The sequence below is a fragment of the Homo sapiens genome, chromosome 3, assembly GCF_000001405.40.
Source record: "Homo sapiens chromosome 3, GRCh38.p14 Primary Assembly".
Taxonomy (NCBI): Eukaryota; Metazoa; Chordata; class Mammalia; order Primates; family Hominidae; genus Homo; species Homo sapiens.
Window position 1 is genome coordinate 193,369,333 of NC_000003.12, and position 12,456 is coordinate 193,381,788.

Sequence of the window (12,456 nt, forward strand, 5' to 3'; positions counted from 1 at the left end):
AGCATGGTGGCTCATGCTGTAATCCCAGCACTTTGGGAGGCCAAGATGGGAGGATCGTTTGAGCCCAGGAGTTCAAGACAATTTGAGATAAGATTTGGGTGGGGACACAGCCAAATTATGTCACACAGTATATGTATTTATTTTGACCAACTAATTGAGAGGAAAATTAGATTGTATAAATGATTATTCTTCTGATGTAGTCAGAGTCACTCAGATTTTTTCTGAATATTTACACGCCCCCAGTAAAATCCACTGAGAAATGCAGGGTAGAGGAGAGAGCCAGGAACATGTTTGTACCATAAAAGGAAAATTAATAGTATCCAGAGGTGGTGTTAATGTAAAGATACTGGAAATGGGATGAAAGTGTCTGAATCTCAAACCCGTTATACATGGTTCCTTGTAGTAAAGTGAGTTTTGCCACCTATTACCTGTGAGCTGAGGATTTAACTTCTCTAATCTCAGTTTCCATCTCTGTACTTAGGGGAATATTAATAGCATACACCTGGAAAAACAATGCGGCTTAAAGAGAGGTGTAAGGTGTTGAGAGAAAAAGCAGCTCAGTCAATGATAACAGGTGATTTTATAGTAGGTTCAGTCACAGGAGGAAAGAGGTGACTATTTCAGCTTTTAGTTGCAATATACTGGATCAAGACCGGTAATAGAAACAGCCTGTGTTCCATGAGGCCAGGAACCCAGATCTGCCACCTGTTAGTTGAGTTGAATAGCACAGAAATTGTGTCCATCTTCACACAGGCTTGATTTGTATTCTGTCTAAGCAGTGGTGTTCCTTTACATTTTTGTTTCCTATAGAATTCTGAAAGAGGTACCACAGCCCTAACAGTCTTTTTCTAGGCCCAGAATACAAAGGAAGCAGTCTGGATTAGGAATAGCAGTGAAATATGCATGCGCTTTTTCACAGAGGTTATTGCCATAAATCGCAACTTAGAGCCAGGCTTCCCTTCCAGGTCTGACACCAGAACCTCTTTTCTTTATACCCCACCCTGTTGCCTTCTAGAAGCTCTCACTTCTGCCCTTTGCTCCACTATTTACCAGCTGTGATTTAAACTTGCTGAACTTCAGATTTTTCGTGTGAAAAATGTGACTGCTTGTAAAATGCATCAGAAGTAGTTTGGTGCAGCAGTTAAAAGCTGAGGATATGGCATGGGAAAACCAAGTTCAAATCATACCTCTACCACGTAACCATATATAAGACTTTGGCAACCCACTTTACTTCTGATGCCTTAATTTCCTCCTCCACAGATGAGAATAATAACAGTCACTATTGTCTAGGGTTATTGTTAGAAACTAATAAGATATGATATCTTGAATCCCTTTTACTTTTATCTATATTTGACAATAAGAACTAATTGAGTGTATTTGATGATAAAATCCTTCTGAGTACTTATTAGGTGTTATTTAATTCTCACCACAACCCTATGAAATAGGCATTATTATTTACTAAAATAAGTATTAACATTTATAAATTATTTGTAGAACAAAAACAGTCTTGGAAATGTATGTTCAAAATAAATACTAAATCATTCAGTCTGGAGTAAGAAAAACTTTTCACTATCTAGCAGTGTGATTCGAAACCCAATACAAAAGAGATGAACATATCCCACTCTTGGCTACAGGTATTCCCATAATTTCAGCTGGCACTACCATAACAAGAGTGCTAACATATAGTCCTCCTGCAAGTGAAAGTGCAACTAAGGACCTTTGTTTGGTGAGGCTAACAGCAGAGAGCTGTAAGTGTGGGTCAAAAGATGATGAGATGCCTGGCCCAAGTAGCAAGAACAATTTCTGAAAACAGAATTTGCCCTAGATCAAGGGCATGGAACAACATGGCAAGTTCGGTTAAAAGTCATTTGTAAAATAAGAGCATTGTTAACCAGGGAGGGAGTCTCAGAGATTATTTGGTTCAAATTTCTCTCTAGGAAAAAACAGCTATACAGTGTTCTTTGCAGATGAGCATCTATCGTCTGCTTAAGAGGGGCTTTTCGTTGCCTTACAGGGCTGCATACTCTCTTGTTGGACAGCTGTGATGGTGTATTAGTTTTCTGTTGCTGCATAGCAAACTCAGTGTCTTAATACAACACAGATTTACTGTCTCAGTTTTTATGGGTTGGGTATTCAGTTAGCTGGGTCCTATGCTGAGCGTCTTACAAGACTAAACTCAAGGCGTCACCTGAGCTGTGCTCCTTCTGGAGCTAAGAGACCTCTTCACACTCATATGGTTGTTGGCAGAATTCGGTTCCTTGCGGCCTTAAGATGGGGGGCCCCCATTCTCTTGCTGGTAGTCAGCTGGAAGCGACTCTCAGTCTTAGCAACCACTCCTTACCACAGGGCATCTTCCATCTTCAAAAATGCAACGTAGAACCTCCCTTGCATCAGACCTCTCTCGTGCTTTAACTATCTCTGACTTCAGGAAAGGCCCAGTCTCTTTTAATGAGTCACCTGATTAGGTCAGGTGTACCCAATCTCCATTTTTATTAACTCCATTGAGTTCATGTGGATTATACCTGTAAAGTCCCTTTTTCCATAGAACATAATATAATAATAGGAGTCCTAGCTTCTCATATTTACAGGTTCTGCCCACACTCAGCTAGAGGGGATTATACAACAGGAACGGTGATCACAGGGGTGTCATGTTAAGTTTCTGCCACCACAGATGATTAGGAAGTTCTGGCAGGTGCGGTGGCTCACACCTGTAATCAGCACTTTGGGAGGCTGAGGCAGGCAGATCACGAGGTCAGGGGATTCAGACCAGCCTGGACAACATGGTGAAACCCTGTCTCTACTAGAAATACAAAAATTAGCTGGGTGTGGTGGTGTGCTCCTGTAGTCCCAACTACTCAGTAGACTGAGGCAGGAAAATCGCTTGAACCTGGGAGGCAGACGTTGCAGTGAGCCGAGATCGTGCCATTTCACTCCAGCCTGGGCAAGACTCCACCTCAAAAAAAAAAAAAAAAAAAAAAAAGGGGGAAGTTCTGCCATAAGGAAAATAAATATGGCTGGAATCTACCAACCCCTACTTTTGTTCTCCACAGCAGCCTCTCAACTCTTGGAAGACAAACATTATGACTGTTCTTTGGGAAACTGTTTCTAATTTCTTTTAAACAGTTCTTACTTACGATATGCAGATATTCCTCCAAATACACTATACTTCTTGAAATTTCTCTCTAAGTATGAGTTTTAGAATTAAATGTAACTTCCTAGATTTTTCCTAAAAAAATACAGATTATGGCAGAACTTTTATTTATTTCTTCTATTCTGAAGAACAGGCTTTTACTAAGGCATTCCAGGGCTAATTTTTTATAGCTACATCACATTGGCAAATAAAATTCAGCACATCAAATAAAGCACTTCAATTACTTTTTCATGTACAACTACCAAACCCAAGTCACTGATACCCTCACCTTGTTTTTTGAAAATAACTTAAAACAAAAACTCAATAATGAGGTCTGTTACATTGCATCTTGCCAATTTCTCACCTACAATCCAGCCTAGACAAATTTTTGAATCTTGATTCTGTCACCTATATTGTTGTTCTTCCCTTATAGCTAGGTGTCAGTTGAAGATTGATAAGCTTACCTTTACCTCATTCAACCTGATAATATACATGTTGACTGAAAACAGGAGAGAGCCAACAGGGCTGACTTTCAGTTTCAATTTTTACTTTTCAGTTTTAATCCTTTGAGTGGTTTTTTTGAGGGGAAGTTCTTTATTGGAGGACAACCTTGTGTATGTAAGATACATTACATTGTATATGTAAAATAATCTACATGTTTAAAATTCCTGATTTTTCTTTTTCTTATTTTTTTGAGATAGAGTCTCACTCCATTGCCCAGGCTGGACTGCAATGGCGTGATCTCGGCTCACTGCAACCTCTGCCTCCCAGGTTCAAGCGATCTCCTGCCTTAGCCTCCCAAGTAGCTGGGATTACAGGCAGCTGCCACCATGCCCAGCTAATTTTTTTTCTTTTATTTTTAGTAGAGATGGGATTTTGTCATGTTGGCCAGCCTGGTCTCAAACTCCTGACCTCAGGTGATCCACCTGCCTCGGCCTCTCAAAGTGCTGGGATTACAGGCGTGAGCCACCGCGCCCAGGCAATTCTTGATTTTTTTTTTAACAACTCATCACATATTACTTGTTTTCTCAATGATAGCCTCAAACAATGATCATTCTTTACATCTTAACCAGAAAAAAGAGAACATATCCTCAACACCAATCTCACTTAACATATGTATTCCTGCATTTTCTAATTATTTTTGCACTTTGTAACTCTTGATCCCTTGTACATAAATGAACCACTTATTTTTCATAGCCCTTTCCATATCTCGCATGTGGCCCTCACAAAACTTGTGAGTCAGGAGAGCTAGTGGTATTGTTCTTAGGTAAAGAGTCAAGGCCAAAGAGGTGTCCACAACCACATGATTAGCAGCTGAGCCTAGACTAAAGCCCAGGTTTGCTCTCTCAGAGTCCAGGGCTCTGCCACTGTTCAGCAGAAGAAAATTACTTCGAAGCAAAATGCACCTTTGTCAGTTCTGTTTTGTCCACACCAAGCAGCCATTTTGCCTTCTGGGGCTGCTGTGATGTGTAATTTTGACATTTTGTTGGTGGGTGTCTGTGCAGAAGGGGAACACAGATGGAATTGCTGGGCTTTGCAACTGATATGAATGAAGCAGCACTTGTGGCTCCAGTGGGGTCAGAATCAAAGTCATCTTCAGAAAGCAAATGCAGCCTGTGGTCACGGGAGCTGCTGAAACAGAGGCTGATATGCACACAGTGTGCCTCCAGACAAACCAGGCTGAGAAGAGCCGTCATGATTATTTTTCCTCCCAGCAGGGTAAAATGATAAAATAATACCTATCGGTCATTGAGAACGTTCCAGCCTTCCTATGGAGGTTCCAGTGGTCAGGAGATAATCTGTGCATGTATTTGCACACACACACACACACACACACACAGAGAGAGAGAGAGGAAAGATTCCATGGGTGCATAAGTGTGGGAAATAAGGTGCATTGTGGCTGGGTGAGGTGGCTCATGCCTATAATCCCAGCATTTTAGGAGTTCGAGGCAGGAACATCACTTGAGCCCAGGAGTTTGAGACCAGCCTGGAAAACGTAGGGAGACCTCGTCTCTACTGAAATTTTTAAAAAATTAACCAGCTGTTGTAGCGCATGCCTTTGGTCCCAGCTATATGGGAGGCTGAGGCAGGAGGATTGCTTGTGCCTGGGAGATTGAGGCTGCAGTGAGCTATGATCACACCACTGCACTCCAGCCTGTGTGGCAGAGTAAGACCATGACACACACACACACACACACACACACACACACACGCATACATAGTGCTATATAGTGCACTGTAATGCCCCCTTAAGAGATCACAAAAAAACATAATATAGATATGGTTTGAATGTGTTCTCCAAGGTTCTTGCGCTGGGAGGTGGGGCGAATAAGAGGTAATTAGATTACAAGTCTCTGCCCTTGTGAATGTTGTTTTCACCCTAGTGGGTTAGTTATTGCAAAGTGGGCTCATTATAAAAGCAAGTTGGGACCCCTCTTACTCTCCTGCTCTCTCGTGCTCTCTTGCCCTTTTACCTTCCACCATGGAATGACACAGCAAGAAGGCCCTCACCAGGTGTGGTCCCTTGACCTTGAACTTCCCAGCCTCCAGAACAATAATAAATAAATTTATTTTCTTTATGAATCACCCAGTCTGTGGTCTTCTGTTACAGCAGCACAAAGCAGACCAAGACAAATATACTCAAGATTTGAGAAGCCCTGCTGTTACCTGTGTACCCGTTTCACCCAGTATTTCTCAAACCTGATAGGGAAGGAGAACAGGGAAACTTCTTATATAATACCTACTGCAGAAGATATGTTTAGAAAAGCTGTATTACCTCATTTAATCCTCACCACAATCCCAAATGGTAGGTATTAGAGAGGTCAAATAACTTGCCTAACAGAACTAGAATTCAACCCAGGTCAGCCTGAAGCCAAATCCCATTCCATTAAGTATGGAGCTATATAACCTGGAGGCTTCAGATTTATTTCGGGTCTTATGTTTTGAAGGCTCCTGTGGGCTCTTAGTGAAGCTATGGGTCCTGAGACCTCTGGAGAAGACAAGAAAAACTGACTGCAAAGGGAGAGGCTGAGGGAAACACCTGGGCAGGGCAGATTTTTAGGAAAAAGGCAGGTGAAGAAAAGGAACCTATTAGAGCTAGATAGTAGTGAGGAGGGTGGGAAGTGGATGGGAGTAGGTTGGAAAAAACAATAAAGACCTGTACAGTGAGAATATTGATTGCAGGGCTGTTGTAAAGTTTTGGGTAAAATGAAAACCTGTGTGTCAAGCACCTAGTACCGCACCATGCCCAGGACAGTAAGCACTACCAGGATGAGAACAGGAGATGGGAATGATAACAGGGTTCAGCTCTAGAGGCCAGTGCAAGGCTTTATCTCCATGCTGAGCTCAGCAGAATCACGCAAGACTGAGCTTGCATAATCTCACAGCATCGCCCCTCCATCCACTTAGGCTCTTCATGGGTGTTTGATTGAAGGAGTTCATTATTTGCCTCGACTGTCTCTAATTTTTACCACAGTGACTCTCACGATCACAACGGATTGTTCACTTGAAATAATGAATGCGAGTAGAAGTTAGACCGGGCCACAGGGAATCTTCGGGGAAGGAAGAGCAAGTGGGGCGAGGCTGTCAACATCAGAGAGCGACAGCCCCCAAGGCTGGGACTAAACCATGCCCAGGTTTACTTTGACCTACTGATTGTTTTCAAAAGATGAATTTGTTTTCAAAATTTATCATCAGGCTACATCACATAAAAAGTCAGATTTCTGGCTTCCCTCGATTTATTTATTTTTTACCTTTTAGATTTAAAAACATCTATTTCTAGAGTCTGGGAAGTCCAAGATCAAGGTGCTGGCAGATCCAGTGTCTGATGAGGACCCTCCTTCTGGTGCATAGACTGCCATCTTTTCTCTGTGCCCTCACATGGTAGAAGGGACAAGGGAGATCTCTAGGTTCTCTTTTCTTTTATTTATAAGAAAAACAGGCTTTTGCTATGTTAACCAGACTGGTCTTGAACTTCTGGCCTCAAGAGATCTTCCCACCTTAGCCTCCCAAAGTGCTGGGATTACAGGCATGAGCCACCATGCCTGGCCAGGGGTCTCTTTTCTTTTTTTAATTTCCAACTTTTATTTTAAGTTCAGGGGTACATGCGCAGGATGTGCAGGTTTGATACTTAGGTAAAAGTGTGCCATAGTGGTTTGCCACACAGATTGACCCATCACCTAGGTGTTAAGCCCAGCATCCATTAGCTATTCTTCCTGATGCTCTCCCTTCTCCCATCTCCCACCTTCTGATAGGCCCCAGTATGTGTTGTTCCCCATCCGGCTTCCTTCTAAAAGGCTAGCAATTGCAAGATCAGTTCAGCAATTGCCTGGAGCTAAGTCACAGCTTCCACAGTTCGGTCACCCCAGCTCCCTCAGGCCTAGCGGAGTCTGTGGATTACCTGATCAACCAGAATAGGATTTGCATCTGTGCTCTACGCCCCAGAATTCTGAAAAAGAAATCTAGAGCCATCTCCCCTTCCCCACAATGAGTTAAGCTTACTTGGATTCCTAATAGACATTTCTGGTGAGTGTCTGTAAAAGGGTTTGATCACCTGCAAAAATGAAGAAAACTGGGGCACCTGGCTCATTATTTAATCCTATGATACCAATGTCCTGTTTGTGAGTGAGAGAATTAAAGTATCAGGCTATAAACTTTACAAATAAAGCAACTAGTTAGAGAAGAATAAAGAGCAATGTAATTTTTCATGCACTCTTATCTACATGTTGAAAACATCAGAGCTAACAGAATTGTTCAGCAGTGAACACAGGTGAATAGATTTTCATTCTTTAAAAGCTTTAATTCTGAAGATTTTAAAGTGCTGTGCTATTGTCAAGCTTAGCGTGCTACAATAATGCAAGCCACAAATATGAGCTGCCTTCTTAATATTAACGTTCCTAGCAGCCACATTAAAGATGTAAAGAGAAGCAGGTGAAATTTTTACCTAAGCTATCTAAAATATTGTCATTTCAATGTGTAAACAATATAAAAATTATTAATAAGATGTTTTACTTTTTTTTACTAAATTCTTCAAAATCTGGTGCGTATTTTACACATAAAGCATATTTTGTGTGGACTAGCTACTTTTCTAGTGCTCAGAAACTACACGTGGCCCATGGCTGCCTTATTGAACAACATAGATGTAGATGAAATCATATGTTTTCCTTAGAGTAGCAAACAGGGATAGGTGGAGGGAGAGCCGGTATGGATTTGCCCCAGATCTCACAGGGAACCAGGATGCCAGCCAGGAAACTGACATCATTCTAATCTACAAACCATGTTCTCCAAGTTCTTTGGGGCCCCCAAATGTGCCCTCACTCTGACCCTTCCCCTGTCTGTCTCTGTCTCCTTTCTTCATTGTCTAGCTGGAGCCACTGTTGTATGGTGAACAGCACAGGATGTGGAGAAGGAGTCGGCTGGATTCCCAGCCTGTCCCTTGCAGGCTAATGACCTTGGGCAAGTTATTTAACCTCCCTGGTCTCAGATTTCTTTTCAATTAAATAGGATTAGTTCTTTCATCACTGAGGTCTGAGGATTATATAAAATCATAAATATAAACACCTCAGCACCAAATAAACACTATAGTTTTCAACTTTTTAATTATTATTTTTAAATGTGTGTGTGTGTGTGTGTGTGTGTTTGATGAAAACAAGAGTGGGGAAAAAATTGGAGACATGAGAAATGTTTAAAATATGTGTTAAAAATCCCAGGCCACATTCTACTCCTTCTTTAGTAATTGATGCTTAAAACTTCTCTCTGCGCTTATAAAAAGCATGACTTCAGCCCAGAGCCCCCTAAGCCTAGGTTATGCATACATACCCAAAGCACGAGAATAAAAAAGAGTTCTTGTTTTCAATAGAGTTTGTTCCATCACATAGCAATCCAGATAATAAGGGGGAGACACCCCACTGAGCACCATGCGGGGCTCTGCAAATACTGTAAATGTGCGAGGAAACATCACAGGTTCATATGAAGATGGCAAGAATTCTATCATCCAGAGGTCACAAGTTTCTCAGCCCCTGCAGGTTTCCCCACAATAAAATGGTGCTTTGCAGCCCTTAAGGAACCTTACCAGACTGAAACCTTTCAAGGTCCTAAAGCCTGAAGCATAAATGCTACACTCTATTTTCTAATTCAGCTGTAGCCCATACTCACCGCCTTGGGCTCTTTGAGAAGACTAATAAAATAAAGGGAAGACTCACCAGTTCATCCTCCTCTCCCTGGTTGAGCAAAGCCCGATGGTCCTTCTTACTGTTCTCTTCCATCTGAACTCAACCGGCGAGGATCTCTTCTGGCTAACTCCTTGGAGAAATGTCAAAATCCCTTGGGCTTCTGTGAACTTGGAATCGTCACAACTTGTGATTGCTCTTCCCAGGCGCTTTTAAAATCTCTTAGTACACACCTTGCCTATTAGACTAACAAAGGAAAGAGAGAAAATCTTCTCAGGAACAGGATTGGTCTGTTAATCTGGTTATTGTGGGTTTTTTTCCTAGTGTTTGTTTATTGAGCTAGATATGAGTGCCTCAAGACCTGAGGAATGACGGGGGAAGAAGTTGGCAAACTAGAAGGAGAAATCATTTTGTATGCGATCCATAAATGTCTCAGCCAAGGAATGAGAATAGTCACTTTGCTAAAAACCTAAGATAAAAGGATTAGCCAGTGAGAGATGTATAAAAACCCTGCAGACTTTGAAAAAGTAATGAACATATTGGGGGTGACAATGAGAATTGAAGGAAGGGAGGTAGGCTCATGATAGAGAATGTAGGAATCATTTTGGAATTAGAAAAATCTGAGTTCTAATCCGTGCTTCACTGAAGACCCTGGACAAATCACTTAAAATCTGGAATTTCAGTTTCTAGTACATAAAATGTCAATAATAACTATACAGTAATATAAAGATTTAAGATGATAGTCATAAAAAGCCAACGATAGCACCCACCACAGTCACTAAGAGAGAAATAATCATCATCATAATCATTACACTAACCAAGAAGAAAGAGGCTTTAAAAAGTAAACTATATTAATAACTTGATTCTTTTCATTTTCTCTTTAGAGTTTACAAAAGTTTTCAAATGAGCAAAGTATGTGGAGGGAAGAGATGCTAGAAAGTCCGAGGATTAAGGATATAGCCCAAATTTCAACACCACTGAATTTGATATTTTGATTAGAAAATAGGTATACTGTGATCCATTCCAGAGTCAGTTAATTTGTTTGTGATGAAAACTTTTGTCATTTTATTGGCTCTTATTGTATCCTTGCACTTTGACTATGGAAGAAAATTTGCTGGGAATGAAAACTATTAGGGATGATACTTGGCTGTTTCTGCTGACTGAAATAGACACTGATTGCCTTGAGCAGGCATAAGTGTCCAACTTGGTGTTCAGGAGAGATCAACGTGCTCTCTGGCCAGGAGAAAGTGGCTGATGAGAATAAACAGGAAGACAACTAGAGCTCTTCATGCCAGAGGCTCCCGAGGTACCCATACTGAAGTATAATGTGCCGGTGTGAATGTTGCCTTGTAAGTAGTACCAATCTAAGGTAAAATGCATATTTGAAGAAAGGAGTTCTGGATTTTAGTAAAACTTCATTAAAGACACGAGTGGTGGCTATCATTCACTTCTTACCCATCCGCTATTTACTTGTATTTCTTGCTGAAAGAACCCCAACTTTGTGCAGCATGACTTCAGCTAAAAGCACCAAGATGAGTCAATGATTTGTCTATGGGTCGGCGTGTGGCCCAGTTCTAAACAATGAAATAGAAGAGAAAGACATGGTCTTGTGGGAAAGGTTATCTTGTTGATGAAACAGAGAGAAGAACATTTTTTTCTGTCTTCCCCTTTCTGCCTTTCTTTGAAAGTGATCCATGAAAATGCAATGCTTGGAGCATGGTAGCCATCTTTAGGTGGTGAGGAGGATGCAAATCACCATGAAAATTACGGTGAGAAAAGGACAAAAGAAGTTATATGCCTATAACACCACTGATTCATGGACCTACCTACCCCTAAACACCACATTAAATACACAATTAAACATTCTCATAAAGCCACTCTTGCTTGGGTTTTCTGTTACATATAGTCCAAAGATATACATAGCACTGGTCTTGACTCCATTCCACTTTTACTCAACAATTATGTACTGGAAAACAGATGTTCCAGACATTGTGCTAGGCCCTCGAATACAATGGTGTAAAGGAAAGAGCCCCTATCCTGAGAGAGTTTATAGTTACTTGGGAATGACAGATAACTAAGCAGCCTCTTAATTGGGAAATATACTAAACTCAGATTTAATGGAATACAAACAGGTTCCCAAAGGAAGTGACATTTATTCTGACATCTCAAAGATAAGCAGAAGTTAACAGATAGAAAGAATGGGGGATAGTGGCATCTGGTGAGCACAGTCTAGGCTGGGAGCAGAAGGTGTGGAAAGGGTCAAGCGAGGTGGGAAAGGAGCACCTATTCGGGGCATTAAGGGGAATAAAAGTAAGACTTGAGACTAGAAAGATGGGAAGTGATGAGTAATAATTATGATGGAGATGCAAACAAAGGTGTGCTCAAGAAGAGCTTGTCAACCATGGCGAGCTGGACTCTTGTCTGTCCACCGGCCAAGACCCAAGGCCTCAGCTCCTTCCCACTGAGGAACCAACACTCTTTGCCCTGTACAAGTACAAAATACCCACTTCAAATTAAAGTCTTTGAATAATCCCAATGCTCATAAATGTCTTGGAGGCACTGAGCTTCCAGGTCCCAGAGATGTGAATGCTGACATTGGGCCCATTTACCATATGATGGATTCATCAGGGCAAAGTTTGTATTAGATAATCTCGAGGGTCTTTAAGTACTGAGCATTGCTTTAGCCACCAGAGGACAAGCTCTGTGAAGAAAGTAATCACATGGCATTAAACCCTGCCTCCTGGAAGGTCTGCAACAGACATTATAGCTTATAGGACCTAATGCCAGACCCCCATAAGCAACGTGAAGATCCAGTCATGCCTCAATGGCTTAGCCAGTCCCTTGTAGGCACATGGGTGGAAGAGTCACCTTTTATGTTTATACACGTGCTGGAGGGTTGAGGGCATCTCTTCTGGGAGAAGCAGCCTCAGGAATGGTGGCAGTGGCCTCTTCCGGATCACACTAGTATTTCTAGCCATAGAGTTCAGGAGGTCATAACTTAAGCTGGAATTCTTTAGATCTTTTCCATCTGAAGAGGTCAGATTCCCTGTTGCCTATGACTAGAAGCAAAACTGCATCCTGATGAACCACAAAGGCAAACTCTGTCCTAATAAGAAGGAAGCTGTCAGCACCATACAGCATAAGAGCAGGGGCCTTCAG

The 12,456-nt window shown here is 41.6% G+C and overlaps 1 protein-coding gene across 2 annotated transcripts in view; it reads right to left on the minus strand.

Moving 5' to 3' along the window:
- The window catches only part of ATP13A5 (ATPase 13A5), a 103,965-nt gene extending 94,544 nt beyond the window's left edge, over positions 1–9,421 (minus strand). For both annotated transcript variants that reach the window (NM_198505.4, XM_011512770.3), the window contains exon 1: positions 9,331–9,421. In NM_198505.4, the coding sequence (NP_940907.2) occupies positions 9,331–9,393 (63 nt within the window). In that variant the 5' untranslated portion in view covers positions 9,394–9,421. The remainder of the gene's footprint in view (positions 1–9,330) is intronic.
- Positions 9,422–12,456: the final 3,035 nt, after the last annotated feature.